The sequence below is a fragment of the Homo sapiens genome, chromosome 20 (genome assembly GCF_000001405.40).
Source record: "Homo sapiens chromosome 20, GRCh38.p14 Primary Assembly".
Classification (NCBI taxonomy): domain Eukaryota; kingdom Metazoa; phylum Chordata; class Mammalia; order Primates; family Hominidae; genus Homo; species Homo sapiens.
Window position 1 is genome coordinate 13,267,902 of NC_000020.11, and position 26,398 is coordinate 13,294,299.

At 45.0% G+C, this 26,398-nt stretch overlaps 2 protein-coding genes across 4 annotated transcripts in view; one reads left to right on the top strand and one right to left on the bottom strand.

Moving 5' to 3' along the window:
• Positions 1 to 26,398, bottom strand: part of TASP1 (taspase 1) — a 534,161-nt gene that overhangs the window by 163,130 nt on the left and 344,633 nt on the right. The window lies entirely within an intron of this gene.
• ISM1 (isthmin 1) overlaps positions 1 to 26,398 on the top strand; it is a 105,450-nt gene that overhangs the window by 46,628 nt on the left and 32,424 nt on the right. For both annotated transcript variants that reach the window (XM_017027680.2, NM_080826.2), the window contains exons 2-5: positions 2,603 to 2,842; positions 11,733 to 11,997; positions 20,639 to 20,782; positions 24,473 to 24,562. In XM_017027680.2, coding sequence (XP_016883169.1) covers positions 2,603 to 2,842; positions 11,733 to 11,997; positions 20,639 to 20,782; positions 24,473 to 24,562 — 739 coding nt within the window. The remainder of the gene's footprint in view (positions 1 to 2,602; positions 2,843 to 11,732; positions 11,998 to 20,638; positions 20,783 to 24,472; positions 24,563 to 26,398) is intronic.

Sequence of the window (26,398 nt, forward strand, 5' to 3'; positions counted from 1 at the left end):
TCTGGGCCCCTTCCAAGATTTGTAATCCTAAATCCTGCACAAGAAATTCTCCATGACAATCTAACTGTCCTCCCTAATGTTGTTGGAGAAGTTTTAGGGTTGGAGATTAAGGGAAAAAAGCAAGGGAACAAATGCATTCAGCTATCTCCCCTTTGGGATGTCATCGAGAAATCTTATGTTGAGAAAAGATAGCATGCTCTCTCTCCTCTCCTGTCTTCTCTTCTCTTCTCTTCTCTTCTCTTCTCTTCTCTTCCCTTCCCTTCTCTCCTCTCCTCTCCTCTTCTCTTCACTTCGCTTCTCTTCTCTCTTGCTCCTTCTCTTTCTCTCTTCTATTCTTTCTCTTCTCTTCACTCCTCTTCTCTTCTCTCTCGCTCCTTCTCTTTCTTTCTTCTCTTCCTTCTCTTCTCTTTTCTCTTCTCTTCTCTTTCTCCTTCTCCTTCTTCTTCCTCTCTCTCTCTCTCTCTCTCTCTCTCTCTCTCTCTCTCTCTCTCTCTCTCTCTCTCCATGCTAGGTTCAAACAATAATACATTTGGCCTCTGTTGCATTGAGTAATGTCTCAAAATGTCAGGGCAACTCCCTCTACCAGGATGTGCCAGGAGACGAAAACCATGGCAGAGAGGTGGCTGGAAAGGTGAACAAAGACACTGCCCCCGGCCACATCTTCTGAGCTGTGGAAAGGCGAGCAAAAACATGCTGCAGAGCAGCCAGCTTTCCCCGGTCACTGCATGTTTTAAAGAGGTGACAGACGAGGTCTCTATCTCCACCCTCCCCTTGGCTTCTTCGAACATTCAGAGGCGGTCTCTGAACCAGTGAGTTTGTTCCTGAGCCCCATTCCTATTTAAACAGATTTATAAAAATCCATTCGCAGCTGGGCTTGGTGGAACGTGCCTGTAATCTCAGCTACTTGGGAGGCTGAGGTGGGAGGATTACTTGAGCCCAGGAGTCTGAGGTTGTAGTGAGCTCAGTTGTGCCACTGCACTCCAGCCTGGGCAACAGAGCAAGACCCTGTCTCTAAAAAATGACACATAAATAAAAGTAAAAATAATAATCCCTTCCCTAAGGTTAGCTCTCCAAGAAGATATGTATCTGCTAGTGTGTTTCAGCCTCAGTGCTCTTGACCTTGGGCGCTCAGAGTCATGAGTGTTTTTATACCAGATGTAACCCTTTGGCTGGGTCAGAGGCACTGTGGTGGGGGGCAAAGAGGGCGTGTGGAGACAGTGTGCTGAAATATACACTCCCAAACCCCAAAACATGCCCAAGAAAAACAAGAACATTAACCACTGACCCAAAGCCTGGTGAAATTCTATCTCCTTGTCTCTCTCCACCAGTAAACATGAAAATGCTATCCCTGAAGGCTGGAGTAAATCTTCTGTGAGAGGAGAGAGGGAGAAAAAGAAAGGCTGGTTTGGAAAAGGAGTCCAGCAACTTCTCAATCACTAGAGAAATTTCCCCATAGTGATAAAGAAATGGTGACATTTTTCACAGCTGGGAAAAACAGTGGGCTTGCACTTTTCAGTATAAAACCATTAGATTTCAGAATGCCTTTTCGTGACTTTTTCTTTGGCTATTCCTGTCTCTTCATCCTCATCACCTATGGTTCTTCCCTCCTTCTCTCTACAACAGCTTCGCTGGCCATTCTGTTTCTCAAACCAGCCAAGCTCATTCCCATCCTGGACTTGAGTGCTTCCTTTGCTGTTCCTTTTGCTAAAATGTCCTTCCCCCAGATTATGGCAGGGTGCCACCTTCTCTTGTTAAGATCTTGCCTCAAGTGTCACCTTCTCTGAGGGGTTCTCCCTGACCACCTATCTAAGGTTTTCCCCAGCCACTCTCCATCATCTTCTTTCTTTTCTTCTTGGCAGTCACCGTTCTTTGATCTGATCTTATTTATTTATCTATGGATTTATTGTTTATTTCCCTCACCTTGTTGTACATTTCAAAATAATAGGTCTCATGTCTATCCTGTTTATTGCTGTATCTCCTGTGCCTAGAATGGTTGGCATTTGATGATTGGATGGATGGGTGTGTGGGTGGAAGGATGGATGGATGGATGGATGGATGGATGGATAGATGGATATGTGAATGGAGTATGGATGGGTTGATAGACAAATGGACAGACAAATGGATGAATGTATGTAATGAATAATATGGCCCAAGAACTATATCCAGCTTGGTCAGATCTTTTGCTCCATAGCCTACACAAAAGAAACCAACTCTGGACACTAGAGCTATAACTAAAGCCAAGGTGGTTAATCAGTTGAAGCTGTGAGAAGAGAAACATAATTTGGTTCCAGCTCTAAATGAACACCTGTTCTTCCTCAAAATAGTGTTTTCATTTTTAAAGTACTTTGAAGCTTAATAAATAGCCCATAACTCATTAACACTCAGAAAATTCCCAAGTAGCAGGCTAGAAGTTTTCTGATGATCTGGCTTTTAAGACATGAAGAAACTAAACCATGGGTTTGCAAAACAAGTTTGGAATGCCCTACTGGCTTAATTTCAGCCACTGGAATTGTCCTTGCTCCTGAATATAATGGACTGTTAAGGGTGACATTTTTTAATCATGTGTCTCCTTAACAGGTGTTTGCTTGTTTGTTTGTTTTAGAATAACCTCAACGTGGGAAGTGACACCACATCAGAAACCAGCTTTTCTCTCTCCAAAGAAGCACCAAGGGAGCATCTGGACCACCAGGCTGCACACCAACCCTTCCCCAGACCGCGATTCCGACAAGAGACGGGGCACCCTTCATTGCAAAGAGATTTCCCCAGATCCTTTCTCCTTGATCTACCAAACTTTCCAGATCTTTCCAAAGCTGATATCAATGGGCAGAATCCAAATATCCAGGTAATTCTTGGCACCTGGAAGATGGGAGATAACAAAACAGTCCATCTTTTGTTTTCTGATGATTCCAGTGGAAACTGCTGCCTTACCTCACTTTTCTTCTTAACCCCTTAATGATTCCTGCTTAAGATCATGTTATCTCCATAAGAACAGTGCTGCATTTCATTAAGTGACACCCTTGATTGTGAGATGCACAATTATTTTGTGAACCACTCAAAAGAAGAAAACACTACCAATTAAAGTATGACACACCAAGGATTACAAGATACATACTAATTTAAGAGACAGTGAAATATAAAAGCAAAACAAAACAAAATAGTCTGAAATATAAAAACAAAACAAAACAAAATTGATGAAATGTGGCCGTTATAGGAAAAGGCCAATCTGACCTGTGAATAGATTGGGCAAATGTTTTCAAATATGAGTTCAAAGCACTCAGGAAAGCTGTTTCTCTTAGTGCCCCTCTAAACTTGCCTTGGACACCAGAAATTCCTTCACAAAGAGACAAGCTTCCGTTACTCTAAAGTATACATGACTTACAAAACAATAAGAGGAAGGAAGTTGAGAACAGGAGTTCCTAGGAGAGAGATGACTATCTTCCACTAAGTTGGGATCTGATGAAGCAGTGGGAAATGGGAGGTTAGGGAAAGGGTGACTGGGGTTAAAAATAATAACTCTCACCTACACTGAAATAGCTCAGTATACTTTACAAAGCAAATGTTGATCGGATTTGACCCTCCCAACACCCTCATGAAGGAGACAAAGCCCGTGTCATTTTTCTAATACTATTGGTAATGCACCAGATACTCAGGAAGTTACTGTTTGGTTTACCCAAAGTCACATGGCAGTAAATAGTAGTTATAGGGCTCAAATCCAGGCTCTCAGACTCCCAACCCACATTCAGAGGCAAACTCCTAATTTTGAATGTTGTTTGTACCTTTCTCTGTTTCCTCCCAAAGATGGTCCCCATGATGGTTGAGAGAGGCTCATCCCCCGGGCAACCCAGCCCCTATCCAACTCTCGTCCTCATATGCCTGCTTCCATATTTTTTTTAAAGATGGCCTCACTCAGTCACCCAGGTTAGAATACAATGGCACGATCATAGCTTACTGCATGCAGCCCCTACCTCCCAGGCTCAAGCGATCCTCCCACCTCAGCCTCCCGAGTAGCTGGAACTTCAAGTGTGTGCCCCCACATCCAGCTCATTTTTTAATTTTTTGTAGAAACAGGGTTTTGCCATATCGCTCAGGCTGGGCTCAAACTCCTGGGCTCAAGCGATCCCCCTGCCTCAGCCTGCCAAAGTGCTGGGATTACAAGTATGAGCCACCACAGCCAGCCCATACTTGTAAGCTTTGCTTCCAATTCTTTCTATTTGTATAGGTGCACCTTTTCTGTACTTTTTCCTCTCTGGACCAAATGCCAATTTGCTTACATAGCAGAAAGTTCCTGAACTTGGACTCAGACCAATTGATCCTTCATTAACTGCCTCTCTCTCCACAGACTAACACCCTCTGCATGATACGGTTTTAGATCAGGTTTCGTTGACCTGAGTTGTTTTGCTCTTAACACCAGCATCATGGGAGCACGCAAATCTCACTGAGAACACTTGGAATACCAACCCCCGCTGTATATAAAATGCTGCATTAGGTTATAGGAAATTGAAAAATGTAAGACCTGTTCCCTCCAATAAATTAGATCTGTGTGAAGATCCCAGCTACCACATAAAACAGTGCTGGAGGGATCATGAAGACAGAGGAGGAAAAGCACTGTGTCCCAAGGGGGTGGATCTCAATAGGTGGAAAGAAGTCGGACAGGCTCTATTGATGGCACAGAGTGACAAATATTTTGGAGGTCACTCTTTGACAACCCATGCACAGAAATCACTACAAGCCCCAGTTAAAATTTCTGGTGAGTCTTGTATTGTTTTAATTGATAAATTGGAAAAACAGGCCTTTGGCTCCAATGGCCCCTCTCCAGGGACTGGCCACGTGGTGTGATAAAGAGCAATGGAACCCTTTGGAATAGGTGCAGATTGGCAAGGAAGGCACTGACTTCATACCGTTGCTCAACCTTGTTTCCTATCATGGCTCATCCATGTGTTTATAGATGTTCTGGTTCCAGAATCAGGCAGTTCTCATCCCAAGGGTGTTTAGGCCATGCCCAAAACAATCTGAAGCCTGCTGTGGCTAGCGCTTTTTCCCAGAGGTGGGAATGTCACTTGGGGCATAATGCTGAGGACTGAGCTATAATATCAGTGTAATTGATTTAAGAATTACTAACGCAAAGTCATAGGAAAATGCCTGGATGCGGGAGAACGGAAGGCTGCCGGGGACTGTTCCTTCATTGGAAAGTTATTGGCTGCTTTGTGCTTGAACCCAATTTCAGACAGAACTTCTTGGGATCCCCTTTCTGTCTTCTAGATAAATCCATCTGTCTGAAAATTCCCATTCCCTACCTAGACCTCACTTGGGTCTTTTTTATTTTATTTTATTTTATTTTATTTTATTTTATTTTGACAAGGTCTTTCTTTGTCACCTATGCTACGGTACAGTTGTGCAATCATGGCTTGTTGAGGCCTTGAACTCCTGGGCTCAAGTGATCCTCCTACCTCAGCCTCCTGAGTAGCTGGGACTACAGGTGTGAGCCACCATGCCTAGCTAATCTTTTTTATTTTTTGAAGAGACCAGGCCTCACTGTGTTGCCCAGGCTGGTCTCAAACTCCTGGCCTCAAGTAATTTTCCTGCCTCAGCCTCTCAAAATGCGGGGATTATAGACATGAGTCACTGCAACTGACCTGTCTTTTAAAAATATTACTTAAATATTAGGGAAAAGCTATAGCGTAAAGGCTGAAAGGCAGTTGGGACTCCCAGAGCTGGGAACCCCAGTTACCCTTTGTACAGCAAAGATCACCGTAACTCCCAAGAATAAAGGTTTACCATAGCTCCAGATGTGAATGTTATTGGCCAAATGGATTAAAAATTAATGCGGCTCCAGCCTAGCTACTGTCAAAGTCAACAAATCAAAAAGAGTAAGCCAACAATACATTTTTGCCTACTGCCCAGTCAAGTTATTCTATTTCTGCTCTATACAATCCCTATCGGTTAATTTTCTGTGAGCAATACAGAGGGGTGGAGGGTGGCCAGCATTTTATTGATCTGATGACGTTTTGGCCCTGAAGAAAATAAAATTGTGGTGCGTTTCTGGCCTTCTGTTTGTGGAAGACCACAAAATGTTAGTATTGGTCACTCAGAAAGATGTTCAAAGAAAGAATAAAACAACTGCTACCCCTGGGAGCCCCCGCCTTCTGTTGGCGTGTAATTGTGTGTGTGTGTGTGTGTATGTGTGCATGTGCATGCACACAAACACACCCACACACCACACAGCACTAGCTGCTGCAGCCCCATGCACCACTGCACTTGTGTAAACCAGTTCCCTGGTGGTCCTTTAAAACATGAGGTGCTTTCTACAAGGAGGTGATGGTTTCCGTGTTGGCAGCCCTCACCCCTTCCTCAGAGCACTGTTCTTTTGTTGAAATCCACTGGTTTGACACAGGGCCGATTCAGCCCAGCAGACAGCCCTGCTGGTCCCTGACGGTCCCTGCCGGCCCCGTCAAAGCATTCCCTCTCCCTGGGTAGCAGAGTGAAGTCAGGTGAGGGGCCCTTCAGTAGGTCAGCTTCCGCTGCCAGGGCTCCTGGCCTCATCTGCCCCTTCCCCTGGCAACCTGCCTTTGCCCCCATCTGGTTCTCCCTAGCTGGAGCCTGGGAGCTGAATGGGAACTTGATACCCGCCTTCCCCTCCGCACCTCCCCACCCCTTCAGGCTCTGGAAGTGTTTCCCACGCTCCAGGGCTAAGGAAACAGCCTGCACCTTTCCAAAGTGACATCGCTAAGCCCATGCAAGAGTCCACGTCCCGCCCCCTCTCCACTCCCCGCCCCCCCCGCGCCCGGCCCCCGGGCCTCTTGACTTTCAGGATAGGAAATCCTTCTAAAAGCCCCAACACCTGCTTCTGCAGAGCATTTTAACTCCCAGAAGTCAGGCAGCCTCGGTCCCAAGTGAATCAGACAATTCTATTTTAAGACTGGCTTCAAGCTGTGGAAGTGAGGAGGGGAAGAAAATGCGCAAAATAGAACAAAAATGGTCTCAGACTACTAAACTGAGTCTCCATATGAAATTTAAAACAATATAAGAGGTTGGGTTTTATCAAAAACAAAAATCATTCAGGAAAGAAAGTAAATCCCCCAGAACAAGTTAGACTTTGGTATCCTTGGCTGGGTTTTCAGTCTGCAGCTGATAGTCAGATATCAGAGACAAAAATCTCTGAAATAAATGCACTGTTAGGCTTACTACATTGGTTCATTACTACACTAGCTATTCACAACCAAAATATTCTCTTTTCTGGATCAAGTTGAGATTAGTATTCATTTCAACCCATATATTTATTTCTTTTCTCCCATTAAGACGGACTTAAAAATAGTCATGTAAAGGCCTTTTTTTCCTTGCACAGACATATTAACATGGCCACAGGCCTCTTGAGCGCCACAAGATACAATCAGATGAGTTGGCCAGGGTTACAGTTGTACGTGCTTCTACTTTTGATTTTGCCTCCTCCTTTTTCTCTAAAATACTTTTAGAGGAATGGCAGGTCTGGCTGGATAAGAATCAAGAAATTTCTCTGCCCAAGACATGGACCCATGCCCCTATAGAGACAAGCCTGTTCGGCTCAGATTCTCATGGGGTACTGCTGCCAATATATGGAGGCAGATTGGCTTGTGTTTGGGATCAGGCACCACCATTTAGTCAGCCAGACTTGACCTCCGTAGCCCCATGCGGGTTACTGGATGTCTTTGTGCCTCAGTTTCCTTGTCTATAAAATTGGAATGACAATACTACATATGAGCAGCTATGTAGTATAATACTATATATAAGTGTGATTATCTGTGAGGATTCAATGAGATCATCCATATGAAGTGCTTAGCACAGGGCCCAGTATAGGATAAGCTTCCTAGAACGGATAGATGCTCGTTGGTGATGATATTGGAGATGAAGATGACAAAGGAAATGTACAAAAAATTAATTGGGAATCAGAAGAACTGGTTCAGAGACCAACACTACATCTTCCTTGCTGTTTACCTCGGGACCTTGAATTCTCCAAGCCAGTTTCCGTCCCTGAAAATTGAGTCTAAGTTGTGTAGAAGGGACAGTAATGCCTAGATTGGCGTGCTGCAAGTCTCAAAGCAGTAACTACAGTTAGCTGGGGTTGCCACCCTTGTTCTTAGAGCATCAGCAGGTGTGAGAAGAGGGAATTAGATATCTTCCTAGTCCATTTTGTGTTCTTTCCATGGCAGTTATCGAGGAAGAAGGGGTAGAATAATCTGGATTTAAAACCCTTGTTGGAGACAGGTCCTTCAATGCTCTGTGCTCCTGAGGAAATCCTTTTCCTCTCTGGAAAATACCTGCCCACTCCCACCAGTTTCCACAGCTCACAAGGCTTAGAGGACCAACAAGCAAGAAGGCTTTCCTGAGTTTGAAGAGCATGGCCTCTGTATTCTCAGTGGCGTTGGTTTATTATCACCTAGACTGAGAATGGTGTGGGTTTCCCTATGGGAAGTGCATTTCCGAGCAAGAATCAAGAGTTTGCTTCTAGTCAATGTATTAATTTTCAAGAGAAGGAAAGCTGATCAAGGTGCATTGGAACTTTTCCTCGTTTCCTAAGACAGAATTATCGAAATGGGCACTTCTTTTGGACTCTCTTTCTTGGAGCTGGGGAGATTGTGCCAGAAATTGAACTTGAGGCTTTTGAAAGAGTTCCCTTTCTTTTATCATCATGACTTGAGTGTGAAAAAGTCCAGAAGAAAAAAATATACTAAGACACTTCAATTATGTGTGTTAAGGATGAGAAAGGACGGTAAGATCTAGAGACTTTGTCAGTTTGGAAATCTGTGCTCACTCCACACCTACAGTTCATCACATTGATCATTGTTCAAGACATCTTTATCAACGGATTCTTTGATGCTAAAAAGCATGTAAATAGAATGAGAGCAATAGGAAACATAAAACGAGCCCTCGCCATTGGAGAAGTCATTGATCACACTCATTAAGTCTTTTTAATTGGATGCCTATGAAACCTCAGGCTCAAGATTAGATTTCTTCTTTTGATATCAGCATGAGGTTTTCACTTTGTTAACTGTAGGGAAGGGTGCGGTGGATCCTAAGATTTGTTGTTTTGTGTTTTGTTTTTGTTTTAGTTCAGTTGAGGCAGTGGCTAGCAATTAAGGGGAAAAATAAACCTCTAAGTGTTGAGATTTAGTCATCGATATAGCTTTTGGAGTAAATTTGTATTTTGCTACTCATTGCCTGGCCAGGCAACAAGTCTATTTTGTTTGGATCTGAGCAGCAGTTTGGAGAAAAAAAAAATCATATTGACGGTAATAGCTTGAAACATGAAATTGTTTTTATTCCCAGCTTGGAGAAATTGCAGGGCACGTTTTGTTTAAGCAATCCCTTTGACTCCAGTCTGAATACAAATGGAATACCAAAAGTGTTGGGCACATTCCCTCTTATCTCCTACCCAGAGACTGATTTCATTACCATAATTGTGGGCTTGCCTGGCTCTTGGCAGCCTCTCCCCTCCAAGACCCTTAATAGCCTTGCAGACGATTGTTGCAGCTCAGTTCCCTCAGATGGGGCTGCAGAGAAGAAAGGTTATGTCTCCAAAGGCTCAGCATCGCCCTGTCACTGCCCAGCTTGGCTCGGCTCTACCCAGCTGTGTGCTCCTTCTCCACTTGTCTTTCTGAGCTTCTGTGTGGGTCCCTGTTACCATTACTCTCCCACGACCATTCATTCCAGCAAATAGCAATGATACAAGATGTATGATGTATTCCTTTTCTTTTCTTCCCCCCTACCCTTTTTTTTTTTTTTACTTTTGGGATTACTGAAAAGCTCCACAATTATTTACAAATATGCAAAGGGTGCCTACAAGACTGGAGTAAGGGTGGTGGCATGGGGTAAAGCTAGTAGTGCCCTTCTAGGTGTCCCGTGACAGAGGAGAAGGGTGCACTTGGCCTGCTGCAGCCTGAGTAGACTCTGGGGTTGAAAGTCACCCTCTTGACCATGTGTCCAGACTCCACAAAACCACAGCCCGGGCCCATTGGCTGGGCAACATCATTTGAAGTGAGCAGAATAATTCAAACCTCCCCATTCGTAACACAAAAGGAAGGGGTTATTTGTCTCAGGGATGGGCACGCCCTGGTGCAATTTGGCAGAGCATCTCAGCAACTCTATCAGATGTCAGGTTAGGGCAAAAGTGGAAATGCGTCTGCCCAGTACATCTTGGGTTGATTACTTGGAGTGCATGTTTCTGATTCATTTGCACATAACTCATCCAGGGGGTGTTGCAAGAGCTATGCGATGGCCAAAGGAACCCAATGCGTCTTTTATTATGTTTTTTAAACAAGTCTCTCTACGTTGATTGTCTCTTGGAACCAAGAAGCTTCATTCTTCCAGCCCCGTGACAGACTTCAAAATGAGACTTTCATAAATCTGAGAACAAGTTCTAGCTTTGGCTCCAGGACTATCTGCTCTGACCCTAAGGGTTAGTTGAGGAGTGTGAAGGCTAGGATGAGCCATGGGGTGAGTGAAAATTGTAGCTGGGAAAGCCTCGTCTTGAGGAGCTTGTACTTATGTCTCTATACACCCTGAAGCAACCAGCCCCCACCTGCACCTGTGGTCTTTTTGTTTCTTTGGTCTCATGAGGAGACAGTAGCTCTGTCACTTACTTTTTGAGAGACAGTGTGGCAAAGTTAGGGACAGCATGGGCTCTAGAACCAGACTCCCCATGTCTGCCACTTACTAGCCCTGTGACTTTAGGCAAGTTGTTGATGTCTCTGTGCACCAGTTTTCCTTGGTGGTAAAAGTTATCTGGCAATCATCTCAAAACTTAATAGTTTGAGACAATGACCACGGGATTGCTGTGGGTCAGGAATTTGACTGGGACTCAGCTGGGAGAGCTTGTCTCTGCTCCATGTGATGTTGGCTAGAGTGACCCAATTGAGGCTGGAAGATCCACGATGGCCCTACTCACATGACTGAGGCCTCAGAGCTAGACGTGGGCTGAGGGACCTTGGTTCTCCTCCATGCAGCCTCTCTCTTTACATGGTCTCTACACATGTAGTGGTCTAGGCTAAGCTTCCTTACATAGCGGTTAGAACATTCCAAGAGAATGAAAATGAAAGCTGTAAGGCCTCTGTTAATACCTGTCACCATTCCACTCCTACCCATTCTGCTGGACAGAGTGAATCACATGGCTAATGCAGATCTCCAGGGAGGAGAAATGGGCTCCACCTCTCTCAATGGGAGATGTGGCACACAAAAACACAGATGGGAGGTCTTTACAAGAGTTAAATAATACAGGTGGAGCATTTAGGATAGTGCCTGGTACAGAGTTTGTGTTCATAAATGTTATGTTTTATTATAATATGATTATTCTGGTATCACTTCAGGAACAAATATAGTACATGTTTACTTCCTGAGTGAAAGGCTTCTCAATACCACATGGAGGAGAGACAAACTCTCCAGGCTCAGCCCTACTCAAATTCCTAACCCACAGCAATCCAACAGTCATTGTTTCCAGCTATTAAGTTTTTAGTCATCAGTAAATCAGGGACTCTAGTGATGAATTTTCCCCTCCCAACCCAAAGCCATGTTCCATCTAGCCGTGGAATTCTTGTGGACCATCCCTGGAGGTTTTCCATTGTGTATCGCCATGCAATCTCAGCTTTCCTTCACAACGGATGCATCCATCATTTCCCTCTGCCCTCTCAGACTTTCTTCCAAGGGTCATGTAGCTTGGAGGCTGTTGACTCCACACTGACCCCAGCCTGTTCTGAATTCTTCAGGTCACCATAGAGGTGGTCGACGGTCCTGACTCTGAAGCAGATAAAGATCAGCATCCGGAGAATAAGCCCAGCTGGTCAGTCCCATCCCCCGACTGGCGGGCCTGGTGGCAGAGGTCCCTGTCCTTGGCCAGGGCAAACAGCGGGGACCAGGACTACAAGTACGACAGTACCTCAGACGACAGCAACTTCCTCAACCCCCCCAGGGGGTGGGACCATACAGCCCCAGGCCACCGGACTTTTGAAACCAAAGATCAGCCAGAATATGGTGAGTTTACCACCTAGTAATATAAAATTGGTGGGAAGAATAAACGAGGATGATGCCTTGGACATGGAGCCAAGCAAAACCCTGCTTAGAGCATGTGGCTTTTGGTCTTCTGTGAGGCAAACCTCACAAAGGCTGTCTTCCGCAGAAGCCCAAAGGAGGCACCAGCAGCCACATTTTTCTGGAAAGACTATAATTTTAAATCAAATCATAATCACTATACCAATTATCCGAAGAGATAATTTTTTTAGGATCTTTGGGGTTCTTTCTGCCTCCCCCGCCCCTCAAATTTCAGTTTTATTTCTAAAAATGAAGAAATTCTCCAATTAACTTCCTTGTATTTTTTACTGTAAAAATTCATCCTGAAAATCAGTGTAGTAAAAGAGATACGTACGGCTGCTTCCTTTGACCAGGCAACTGTGTTATGTTTGATACTGGCAGTGGAGTGGTCCTTGGGAACCCACATGAACGTGTGTGTCTCAGGTCTTCAAAGTAACCCCCCCCCCCCAATACATTTCAAAACTCCAAGTTGAGAGATCTGGTTTCCTGTGTTTTGGGAGTAGGATAAGTGAGGTAACACCTTCCAAATTCAGTGAGTTAAAATAATAAAAGTTCATTTCTCACTTGAGTTGGGTAGGAGAACTCAGCTCCACTCAGTCATTCAGGGATCCAGCCTCCTCCCATTTTGGAGTTCCACCAACTGTTAGGGCCTGAGAGTTATCCCCTGGATATTCTGTGTCCAGCTGGTGTCCAGGGAAAGAAAGGGAGCCTGGAGAAGGAACACACACTCGTAAGGCCCTCAGCCTGGAGGTGACACACATCAGATCTACTGAAATTCTGTTGGGAAGACCTGGTCACATGGCCCCACCTTGGTGCAAGGGAGGCTGGGAAATGTATTCTCTGTGTGTCCAAGAAAAAGAGGAACCCAATTTGGCAAGCATCTGGCCAGATTTTGTGGGGAATCAGGCAGTTTGTTATAAGGATATTTAATGTCTTACAAATGCACCCATCGTCATGATTTTCTTGTGGCTTCACCATCAGTGGACTTTGGAATGAGCAGTATATGAAGGGGATGACTTGTCTTACACCATTTGCATGCTAACCTTAATCCCCATTTTTCAACAGATAGACCAATTGTATATTAGACAGTCATTTCTTCTCATTAATAGAGAATTCTAAGCAACTTGCAAAAGAACAAGACAAAAATATTTTTTTGCCACATCATCAGTTGTTCAACCAACATTTATTAAGAGCAAATGCTGTGTCCAGCACTATGCTGGGTACAAAAATGAGCAAGGCATAGTCTGTCCCCAGAACAGATCTCACCAATCTGTGGACCAAGGGAGAAAATTAACCAACAGAGCAAAATAGTGCCATGGTAGAGATGTACATCAAATGCCAGGGGAACTGAAAGAGAACTCTAGAAGGGATGTCTCTTCTAGCCAGCAGGCTCATGAAACCTTCACCTTTCCCAAAGGAAGTCAAGTTATCTGCTTTCCAAGAGGAAAGACGGGATAATAGCCAACATTTAAATAGTACTTACCATGCACTAGTCCCTGTTCATGGCGTTTCACATATACTATTTCATTAAATCAGCTCTCTGAAGCAGATACTGCACTTTACAGATGGGAAAACTAAAGCCTGGAAAACTTAAGCAATTTAACCTGGAGGGCTAAGACCTGAGATTCACCCCAGGCAGTCTGGGTCCAGAATCTGTCCTCTTGACCACTATACAATTCTGCCTTTCTGGGGAAAAAAGTAGCACACCACTTAGGACAGTAGAAGGATCTAGAAATGAGTGCTTAGGTTGGAAGATAGGAATGGGAGGAAAAGATCAGCGCCACTGAGTGAGAGAAGCACAGAGGACCGCTTGATGCCAGCCTGAGATTGCACAGCGTTTGTGGCTTCACCTGTTTGCCCAGCCCACACAGAACGTTGTTTCTATGAGTAGAGCTCAGACACCTGGCATCAGAATCATTCAGTTGCATGTTTAAAAATGCCAATTCTGGGCTGCAGCCCCTTCCTTATGTACCAGTAGTCCTCAAAGTGTGGCCCCCAGAACCAGCACCACTAGCATCACGTGGAAATGCAAATGTTTCAAGCCTGACTCCAGACCTACTGAGTCAGAAACTCTGGAGTGGGACCCAGAAATCCGTTTGAACAAGCCCTCCAGGCACTCTGCTGCATTGCGCACCTCTGTTTGAGATGAATGGTTCTCCACCTTGATTGCTCATTATACTCACCTGGGGAATTTTTTTTTCAATCCCGATGCCTAGACTTCTCCCCAGACCAGTTGAATTGGGATCTCTGAATATGGGTCCCAGGCATCGTTGTCTTTTAAAGCTCCGAGGATGACTTCATTGTTCAGCCCGGGTTGAAGGCCACTGCTCTCCATCTCCTGAATGAGAAGGTCTAGAAGTGAGACCTGGAGTCTGTTGTTTGCATCTTTGTTTCTTTCCTTTTTCAATCAAGGTCACCAGATGATTCTCTTGCACACTGAAGTTTGAAGACCACCACTAGAAACAACTTTTTCATCTAAAGCCTTTACAGAGTACAGTTTGCTGAATTTATGAGCATTAAGAACACCCCCTCTATTTCCATCTTGAGGCTAGAATTTGCCCTGGGGCAGTTACTGTGGCTACCTCAGCCACCCTCACCCCCAGCCTCCTAGACCTAGAGTACCATTGAGCTCCTCACATCAGGAGCTCGTAGCATGCCTGGGCCATGGAGAAGCTCCATCCTGTATTATTTCAAAGTACCTCCTAGTATCTTCCCCATCATTAGACTGGACATCGGGATTGCTACTTTATAAATAAAGTCGTGTTCTGTGCAGTACCTCTAAAGCAGTGCTTCTCAGACTTTCATGTGCACATGAATAGCCCCGGGCCTTGTTAAAATGCACCTTCGATGCAATAGGTATAAGAAAAGGGCAGAAGCCTGGGCGAAGCTGAGACTGCTAGCCCTCCGACCACACTTTGAGTAGCAAAACTCTACGCCCATTGTAGGTGCTCAGTAGCATTTGGCAGAATGAATGAATGAGTGATCATTGCTTCCCAGGATAGCCCACATTCTGGAATTCATCTTTTCCGGAATTCCATACAGCATCAGATAAACTGAGAATTCCCCTTTTCTTTCTGTTTTTTTATTTATTTAATTTTTTTAAGACATGGAGTCTTGCCCTGTTGCCCAGGCTGGAGTGCAGTGGTGCGATCATAGCTCACTGAAGCCTCCAACTCCTGGGCTCAAGCAGTCCTCCCACCTCAGCCTCCAAAAGTGCTGGGATTTTAATCCCACAGACCCACTTTTATTGCAGTCAACAGGAAACTTCAAGCAATTTCTAAGTATTTATCCCTATATTGTGTGCTGTTGTGGAGGAAACAGAAAGAGAACATTTCACCCAGGAAGGAGAGGTTCATGCAATAGCAAAGCAGTGCAAGTCACTGTATCTCGGGGCGTGCAGCCTCGTCTGAGACAGGCTAAAATTGCCACAGGAGCTAGCCTTTGTGGAGGAGGTAGATCTCAGAGTTTTGAAGGTAGAATTTTTAGTAAGAATTTATATATTTGTCCGCAAGGATTATTTCTAAAAATCCTAGGTGAAATACATGTAGGATACAATGGCATCTGTAGAATGAATTACAAAATACACAACAGAAGACAGACCCCACTTGTGATGATGAAAACACAGATGAGATGATGCTGTGAGTCAGCTCAACTGTGGAAAGTATGTGTTTGAGATGCTGCATTTTAAATCTCTTCTGTGTAGATACTTGGGGTATCCAGGGCAAAGGGAGAGTTCCAAATAAATATGTTTTGGTCTAACAGTAGTATACCATTTCCAGAATTGTTTAGAATAGCCCACATAATGAAATTACATAGGTACTGCTTATTGTTACTTGGGTTAGGACCCAGTTGAAATTCTCTAACTGGTCATAACCCTATTTTAATAGATTTCACAGTGATTTTTTTTCAGTGGTTTTCCTTTATAATGTTTAATTATGGCCACGTAAGAGCGTATCTTAAAGCCAGAGCAACGTGGGCCAGAATCAAAACTGCTAGAATACCAAGCTATGGAACAGGATACGGTGGGAGCAGACAGATCTTAGATCTAATTCCAGCTCAGCCAAGCTTCACCTGTGTGACCTTAGGCAAGTACCTTAACCTCTCTGAGCCTCAGTCTCCCTGCCCATAAAAAGAGGATGTTTCCACCTACCTCACAGGGTTGTTGTAGGAGTTAAATCAGTAGATCGACAGGGCAGCTGGTTAAAGCAAGCCCTCAGTAATCGGTAGACACTGTCATCTAGGATTAGTGGTGCAGGTTTACTAGTGGCCAAGTCAAGACCCAAGTCACTTCAGTTGCCCCACCACTATGACTGGCCCACAGGACGCTAGTGCCCTGAAACTAAGAAAGGACTACTTTAAAACTCCAGCGGCATCCTTGAAACCCAGCTCTCAGCCCACTGCACTCGGGATAGTTTTATTTCCTCCTTGAGTTATTTGATGTCACAGCCAGGGGCTGTCAAAGCACCATATAGATGCTCCCAGGAACTGTTTTTTCCTGCCGTTGTCATTATCTTTGTGATTATAGCTGCTCACATTCATTTTCTGCTCTGGGCAGTGGCCCCTGGTAGGTGAGCAACTGAGAACAGGCTTGTTTTATTATAGCAGAAAGGAGCACTGCCCTCAATGATTTGTCCCTGTCAGAAATGCCCGTTCTGTTCTTTGAAGACATTAAACAAATAGAAATCCCCAAGAGGAGGGTCTTTGCCGGGACATTGATGGGGGCCCGTGTGCTGTGAAAGCTTCAGGGGAGTGAGCTCACATACATACTTCTTCCTAGGAGGCAGTTTCACTTCACTGTCAGCCTCAATAGAAATAATTAGCCACATGGCGAGTTCTATGCCTAACTTTGGGGGACCCATATGAAAAAAATGTTTGGAAATAAAATGGCTTTGTGAGCATTTAAAATAAAGATGTGGAGAAAGCCACTTACTGCAATAATAAATCCTTGATGGCTTCAGAGTCTGGCAGCTGTCTAGAGAGTATATTTTAGGGAGGATTTTATGGGGTATTTGTAATAGTTAGCTTTTGCTGCTTAGAAAACCACCCCCAGGCCAGGCATGGTGACGTATGTCTGTAATCCCAGCACTTTGGGAGGCCAAGGCAGGAGGATTGCCTGAAGCCAGGATTTCAAGGCTAGCCTGGGCAACATAGTGAAACCTCATCTCTATAAAATTTTTTTGAAAACTTTGGCCAGGCATGTTGGCACATGCCTGTAGTCCCAGCTACTCAGGAGGCTGAGGCAAGAGGATTGCTTGAGCCCAGGAATTCAGGGCTGCAATGAGCCATGATGGTGCCACTGCACTCCAGCCTAGGTGACAGAGTGAAACCTCGAAACAGCTTAAAAAATAAAAAAGAAAGGAAAAAAAAAGCCAACCGCAAAATTAAAGGAATGAAAGAGTTCTCTCCCTCACAAGTCCGTGGGTTGTCTGGACTCTTCTGGTCTGGTCTGGACTGGCTTGGCTGGGGCTGGATGGTTTAGGCTGGCCTCACTCACAATGAGGGGTGCCCAGCTGTGTAGATGCTGTATTGAGATGGCTGGGGCCTCTCTCCACTGGTCCCTCCCCCTCCAGGAGGCTAGCCTAGGCACTTCACGCTTGGGGGAAGAGTTCCCTGCAGCAAGACGGAATGCACGGGCACTTTGTATACCTCAGCTGGCATCCTATTTGCTATTATCCCATTGGCCAAAGCAAGTCATGTGGCCCATCCTGGAATCAGCCCGAGAGGGGAGTAGCCAAGGGCGTGGATTTGGAAAGAGGAATTATGGGCATGATTTTTCACATAATCGGACACAATATTAACATTTAATAATTTAGATCCAAGAAACTATAACAAGAAAGTGCCTCATGCAGGGATTCCAACACAAGAGAGTTTAATGCTAAAATACATAGTTTAATGCTAAAATCTCAAAGTTCAGGGGTGATGTCTCTCCAAATTTGCTCTCTACATTGCGATAATGGAGAGGCCAGGCTGCATGAGATTTCTGGATAGTGGAGGTCCCTTTGCTTTTGCAAAGCCAAGAACACCATTTGGCATCATTGGGTTATGTCTTATGCTGGTACCCACCCCACAGGTGATGCAAACTCTACCTAGGGGATTTAATAAGATTTCTTCTGACTTACTCATTCCCCCTTTTTATGAGTATAAAAACATTATAATCTTTACTTTTGACCTTTTTTTAGCTGTTATTCCCTTTAACAAAATCTGGCCTCGGTGGTGTGTGCAGGATGTGACTGGGTGAGTGCTCATGTGCGTATGACCCGCTGCACCTGGATGCTTCTCTGACAAGTGTGCAATTGTGTGCTTGTTCCAGGCACCTCTCTGGTGCCCTTGGGGAGGTGACTGAGAGACACCAGACTGCAAAGTTCTCGGTGGGAGCAGCGACTGCTCCTACCTGAGTGGTTTCTCCATCCAGAAGCAACTTGTTTCTCCAGTCCTACTGTGTGATACCCAATAAGAGATGGTAGAGAGGAAAGAAGCTAATGCCAGGGAAGGCAGCCGAATTTCCTGACACAGAGCATTAGTTTCAAGCATCTGCTTAGCTGAGTGGTTGGAAAACCATTTCTTAGGAGAAAAATCAAAGTTCAGAAAAATTCTTTTTGGGGGATTGGGAGGAAAATAGATGGGGCCTCGGGGGGCAGATAAGATGGGAGCAAGCTCTCCACTCAGAGTTAGGGAGGAGGACACAACCATGAAATCCACCCCCCACCACCCCGCTCCTCCAATTCCACTTAGTGGACTGAGGAGGCTCCACAGCCCTGTGTTTGCCTGAGGCATGTTCAGAGTGAATGCCATGTAAACAACAGCCTGGAAGGCTGGCACGGGCCCACATTTCAGGTAGAAACATGTGTGGACTACATTCCTGCTGGGCCTATGTAATAACAATCGCCACGACCTGTTATGAACAGAGGGTACTCCCTCCCGGCAAGGGGCATGCCTTTAGCTCCACGCTTGGCAGCAGCAGAGGGCCCAAGGCCATAGGAAGATCTGGGTAAACCAGGAGAAACTGTCACAGAGCAGAGGTACTGCAGAAAGAATCACGCTTTAGAGAGAAAGGGCGTGGTACCAGAGCCCTGCTTTCCTTTCTGTTAACCCAGTGACCTTGAACCAGGCATCCTACCACTCCAAGACTTTACTTTTGATAAGAGGAACTCAGTTTGATAGGTGTATTAGTCTATTCTCATACTGCTCATGAAGACATACCCGAGACTGGGTAATTTATAAAGGAAAGAGATTTAATGGACTCACAGTTCCACATGGCTGGGGAGGCCTCACAATCATGGTGGAAGGCAAAGGAAGAGCAAAGGGACATCTTACATGGTGTCAGGCCAGGGAGAGTTTGTGCAGGGGAACTCCCATTTATAAAACCATCAGATCTCGTGAGACTTATTCACTGCCACGAAAACAACATGGGGAAACTGCCCCCATGATTCAGTTATCTCCAGCTGGCCCCACTCTTGACACATAGGAATTATTACAATTCAAGGTAAGATGTGGGTGGGGAGACAGAGCCAAACCATATCAATAGGGTACCACCCTCTCCCACACCTCTCACCTCCAAGCCCCCCTATTTCCTGGCCTACTTTTCCTTTTTGCACACCACTCATCAATTTCTAACATGCCATCTAATTCACTTGTTTTTTGTGTTTATTGATGATTGTTTCTCTTTTCTCACTAAAATATTAGTTCCTCCAAGGCAAGGATCTTTGAAAGTTGTACTTAATAGTGTATCTCATGTACCAAGAATTGTGCCTGACATACAAAAAGGGTTCAATAGGTATTCACTGGATGGATGTTGAATAATGACCTTGAGGGATCATCTCTAGCTTCACCATTAATGTATCGGTAATCTATTGCTACACGTAACAAAATATCCCAAAGTTGGTGGCTTAAAACAACAACCGTTTATTATTTCTCATGATCCTGTGGCTCAGGAGTTCAGGCAGGGCCACTGGGTAGGTACTCTGCTCCTGATGGCAACAGCTGCATTCAGCTGTCCACTGGGAATGGCTAGAAGGCTTGAGAAGGCTTTGCTCACATGTCTGGTGTCTGTAGTCCATGTGGCTCCTCTCTGTCCATGTGATGTCCCATAATTCACAGGTCTAGCATGGACATCTTTCACAGTAACTGGATTCCCCAAAGCAAAAGTCAGAAGCTGCCAGGCCTTAAGGTCAAGGCCAGCCCAGATTCTAGAGAAAATAGATTCTCCTCTCTCTCTCTTTCTCTCTGTATGTCAATGAGAGGCTATAAGCACAGAGAGGGAAGGAACTGAGGGTGGTTACCTTTGGAAACTGCCTAGCATATTACCCCATGCTGTGCAAATGTATGCATTCTCAGTAAGTGTTTTCTGGGCACCTTCTAGGGATGTACAGACCACCACAGTGCCCAAAACCTCCTTGCTGTCACAAAGCTGATCCCTAAATGAGCCCTGGAGCTGTAAACCTTTTAGCTCCAGCTGAAAAGTCCTCTCCAGCAATCCCCTCCCACAGCGAGAAGGATAGAAGTGAATAATTGACAGGCTGCTTGATGGGGAGATTGGGAGACTCTTTGGCCAAAGTTGATGACCATCTCCCTGGCTGTCTTCCAGATTCCACAGATGGCGAGGGTGACTGGAGTCTCTGGTCTGTCTGCAGCGTCACCTGCGGGAACGGCAACCAGAAACGGACCCGGTCTTGTGGCTACGCGTGCACTGCAACAGAATCGAGGACCTGTGACCGTCCAAACTGCCCAGGTGCGTTTACCTGAGTGTGTAGCTCCAAGTTCAAGGGGAAAGCTTTTTAATTTATCATTAAAAACTTAGTGACATTGTCTTTTTAAAAGATGCACTACTTTTCTTTTCTTTTTTTTTTTGAGACGGAGTCTCTCCCTGTCGCCCAGGCTGGAGTGCAGTGGCACAATCTCAGCTCACTGCAATCTCCACCTCCTGGGTTCAAGCAATTCTCCTGCCTCAGCCTCCTGAGTAGCTGGGATTACAGGCACATGCCACCATGCCTGGCTAATTTTTGTAGTTTTTTAAGTAGAGAAGGGGTTTCACCATGTTGGCCAGGTTGGTCTCAAATTCCTGACCTTGTGATCCGCCCGCCTCAGCCTCCCAAGGTGCTGGGATTACAGGCATGAGGCAAGATGTAACTACTTTTCTAATAAGACTTCTGACCAGAGTGAGTCAGGAGATAATTGATGAGCTGAATGGATTTTCTGAGTCTTATGCACAATTGCAGTGGCCGTGACCTAAAAGACAATGTCGCATTGTACTTATTTAATTTAGAGGAGGGACTCTGGTTAGATTGGGTTTTTGATGTGGGATTTGTTGTCCCTTGAAGAGAAACAGAAGGCAGACACTCATGGTCTGATGAGGAAGCCAGGATGAGAGGCTTGACAACCATCTGCAGGAAAAAGACAGCCCCACCGGTAATACCAGAGAGTTGCCAAAGGCTCCCAGGAGCGCAACCTGGGGCGTCTTGGTAGTTAACTGTCACTTTATACTGCATTGTCAGTGCTTCAAAAACTAAACTAATTGCACACTTGGTGAGAGGTCATGTTGAGAGTCAACAATAATTGTGATTGACTATAGCAGTGGTTGTCAAACTATGGCCAGGTCTGGCTCGAGACCTGTTTTTGTGTGTCCCATACATTTTTAAACTGTTGTGAAGAGAAGAAGAAAGAGAAGGAGGAGGAAGAAGAGAAGGGGAAGGGCATGGAGGAAGAGAAGGAGGAGGAGGAGGGGGAGGAGGAGGAAGAGGAGGAGGAAGCTGCAACCAAGACCATATGTGACCCACAAAACCTAAAATATGTACCCTCTGACCCTTTAAAAAAGGCTTAGTAACTCCTGGTGTATAGTCTTACTGTGTATTTCCCATTGCCAGGTAGAATACCAGCCTAAAATAATATCTTAGAGCCTTTCAAGAAACCACACATTCCAAATGGCTTTGGCTGAAAAAAATTTCAGAGACAGAAAATCTGATCCTTACACCCCAGACTTCCTTTTTCTACCTTAGACACTCAGTTCTCCAACCAGAGACATTTGGAACAAAGGAGAAATGAAAGCACAAAGGCGTTTCTGAGGAGAGGGAGGAAGAATCAGATTGGAATGAATGTGTATGTTAGCAAAAGGGGACACGTAGAAAACAGGGCTGAAATGCAAGAAGTGGCGGTTCTGGCTCCATGTCAGCCATGCAGATGGATTTCAAAACAGTGGAGCAACCATTACGGTGCTTTTCCTGACTTTCCCATGCTCATTAGGATGAGCTGAGTTGGAAGCCTGGTGGGTGGAATCTGGATGTGTAGAAATAAGCAATAAATAATAACAATATGAGGAGGAGGAAGAGGGAAACAGGAAGGAAATGAAAAAGAGAAGAATATGAAGTAAACGAAAATAATGATGAAGGTAAAAAGATGAGGCAAAAGAAAATGAAGATTGCCTGGTGCGGTGGCTCATGCCTGTAATCCCAGCACTTTGGGAGGCCGAGGCGGGCAGATCACAAGGTCAGGAGATCGAGACCATCCTGGCTAACACGGTGAAATGCCGTCTCTACTAAAAATACAAAATATTAGTCGGGCATGGTGGCGGGCGCCTGTAGTCCCAGCTACTCGGGAGGCTGAGGCAGGAGAATGGCAGGAACCCGGGAGGCGGAGCTTGCAGTGAGCCAAGTGAGCCGAGATCGGGCCACTGCACTCCAGCCCGGGCGACAGAGCAAGACTCCGTCTCAAAACAAAAAAAGAAAGAAAGAAAATGAAGATAAAGGTGAAGAAGAAAAAATAAAATAGATGATGATGAAGAAGATTTTTTGAGTACTTAAGTGTCAAGCAAATGGCTAAAGTCCTTACAGGTATTATTTTGTTTAATGTTCACAATAACTTTATGAAATAGGTATTTATGATTGTACTCATTCGACAGCTATAGTAACTGAGGCATAGAGGATTAACTTGCCTAGAGTCACACAGAAAGCAAGTGATCAACCTGGAATTTGAATCCGGACAGTCTGATTACAGAGTTCATATTCTTAATCATTAAACTCTTTGGTCTTTACCAAGAGAAGGGTATTGGAATCAGCCACACAGGGACACAGATAGCATTTGAAGTCAAGGTTTGGGGGCTTTCCTGTTGTTTTCTCTTCCAGAGCTCACATCCAGACTCAAGGTGGTAGATTTAAGTGCCTTGTCAGGGGAAGGCTCCCCTCTGCCTCCATTTACAAATGTTTCCTTCTTGTTTTCTGTCACCGCGGAGAGCAGTGTGGCCAGGAGCCCTCTTCATACCTTTTCTTCTCGTGTGTCCTCACCCTCCTTGCATCCTTTCTGCCTCTCAGTTCCTGGCTATTGCAGCTTTTCTGGGCTCCCTTGTAACATGAAGGATTTCGTTTTTAAGGATCTCTTTACTTGTTTGATTCGTTGATTCCCAGCTTTCCTGGAAAGACTCATGGGGCAAAGTCTCCCTGGCCTGGCAGTTATTACACTGTAAAAGTTTGTCCTGTAGGTCAACCCTGCAAATAAGTTTGAGGTGCCTCACATAAAATCAGAGAGAGCCCCTTAAAGGAAATCAAGTCAGGGAAACCAGCAGGGAAGGCCAAGGCTCACCAGCAAATGTTACCACAGTGCCTCACTCCCTCCTCCTCTTATTGCTTTAGCTTGCACCGGATTCCTGATTGTAAAGGAAGCTTGGTTAGGGGTGGTAGTTTGGGTGAGCCAGTAAGTTTGAGTAGAGCTGGGTTCAGTTCCTCAGAGCAAATTATGAGAAGCCCAACTTTTTCTTTCTGAAGCATCACCAACAATGCTAAGTGTCCTAGAATATGAGATAACTCTTCTTGGCTATGCATTGTAGCATCCTCAGTGAGCTAGACAAAGAATGAGCTAGACAAATATTCAAGGGAAAACTACCACCTAACACTTCCCACTTGCTGCTCTAAGTACTTTCTTTACACCAACTCATTTCATTATTTCAACTCTAGGAGGTAGGGCAATTTGTTCTTCCCATTTACAGATGTAAAAACTGAGGCACACAAAAGTTCACTGGCTACCCCAAGGTCACGTGGCTAGTAATGATTTCAACGCACACAGTCAGTCATTAAGAACAAGATATTAAACACTACGTTCTACTGCCTCTGGTTTAGTTTGTCACCCTGACACCATCCTGACATGTGTCCCCCACTGCCCAAAACCCCATCCCTGGGCTCAGTGAGTGAGTTCCTAGGACTTATTCAGGCACATTTGGATCTGATTTCACGTTGCCAATGTATCTGGGGTTTTAATATAGTTTCTGCACTACGACCTGCTTTTTACTGTTTCCTCTGTTGGCAAGTTTCTGCCCGTGAGTAGTAATGAATACAAAAAAGGCTTTGTTCAGGTGTATTTATTTTTTTATTGTTGGGGTGGGGGAGATAACTTTTTCCATGTAATGATGGAAAAATGAGCTCTTGTCTGTGTTTAGGAATTGAAGACACTTTTAGGACAGCTGCCACCGAAGTGAGTCTGCTTGCGGGAAGCGAGGAGTTTAATGCCACCAAACTGTTTGAAGTTGGTAAGATTTTTTTCTTTTTTAATCCAAATATTGACTTAGTGCCTCGGAGATTCCTTTTGCTTTTGCAATGCCATCCTTGGATCCACGTAAATGTTTCATTTTCCTTTTCTGGGGTCCAGTGCTCCCAGCATGTGTCTTGCTTGCTGAATATACTTCAAGCAAGAGAAAACAGTCCTAAGCCTCCTCCACCGGACCGAGCGCTTCTGTGTTCACTCTGCTCTCTATGCAGCCTTCACAGCCAGAGGCAGATGGGGACCTGTCTCTCAGCACAGAATAAGCCCATAGCAGGGGCTCAAGTCACATGGAATCTGTTCTTACTCAGCCTTCATTGAGCGTCCTCAAGAAAATCAAGAAATGGTGCCCTCAGTTCTCCAGCAGAGGGAGGGAGGGAAAGAGGAGATTTTCTCAAAATATTGCACCTCCATCCCCTGCAAAAATTTTTTATACACCGGGCCAGGCGCGGTGGGTCATGCCTATAATCCTAGCACTTTGGGAGGCTGAGGCGGGCAGATCACGAGGTCAGGAGATCAAGACCATCCTGACTAACATGGTGAAACCCCCCCGTCTCTACTAAAAATACAAAAAAATTAGCTGGGCATGGTGGCAGGCGCCTGTAGTCCCAGCTACTCGGGAGGCTGAGGCAGGAGAATGGTGTGAACCCAGGAGGCGGAGGTTGCAGTGAGCTGAGATCGCGCCACTGCACTCCAGCACTCCAGCCTGGGTGACAGAGCGAGACTCCGTCTCAAAAAAAAAAAAAAAAAAGAATTCTTCATAAACCTTTGGTACAGTTTGCTACTTGTCCACTAGAAAATGGTAGAGCAAATGCAATAAATGTAAACCAAACAAAATGGAAAGTGACTCTTCAGGTGCAAGGTGCAAGCTTACTTTTTTGAAATAGCTTTATGTGCTTCTCTATATACTTAAGGATTGTAGAAGGGTAAAATTCCTTCTGTCCCATATCTTTTAGCTACCCAAAAGTTCTTACTTAGCCTCTTCACCTCTGCCCTGCCTCCTCAGTCAAAATTTAGCAGTCCTGAGTCTTTTTTTTTTTCATAGCCCTGCAATTTGGGAGCTAATTTGGTGAACAAAAATGTTCCTCAAATGCCTATTGGGGTCAGGTAATGGGGTCAGGTAAGCATCTCAGTAGAACAAGTCTCGAATAAAAGGAAAGACAAATAAGAAAGTCTGGAGGAAAATAATGGTCCAGCACTGTGATGAAAAGAAAATGGTCTGGGCACAGTGACTCACATCTGTAATCCCAGCACTTTGGGAGGCTGAGGCGGGTGGATCACCTGAGGCCAGGAGTTTGAGACCAGCCTGGCCAACATGGGGAAACCCCATCTCTACTGAAAATACAAAAATTAGCTGGGCTTGGTGGCAGGCGCCTGTAATCCCAGCTACTCTGGAGGCTGAGGCAGGAGAATCACTGGAACCCAGGAGGTGGAGGTTGCAGTGAGTCGAGATCACACCATTGCACTCCAGCTTGGGCAACAAGAGTGAAACTCCATCTCAAAAAAAAAAGAAAGAAAAAGAAAAAAAAGAAAAGAAACAGCTACAGTGTCGGGGGCAGTAGAGAATGGTAGGGTCTGTGACAAAATGAAAAGCTTTATCCAAAGGGTCGGCCATGATGTGGCCGCCATGGAATGAATACCCACCCAGTATTGCCAGATGTTCTGGGTTTCTAAGAGAGGCCTGAAATCTTGATTTTGCCAGATTATATCTTAATTTTTTAAATGCTTGATAGAAATTTATTTTAAAAACAAATCCAATCAGAAATGTCTATGAGCCAAATTGGATGCAGTTTGGAAATTCAGTGTCGCTAGGGCCTCTACCTCA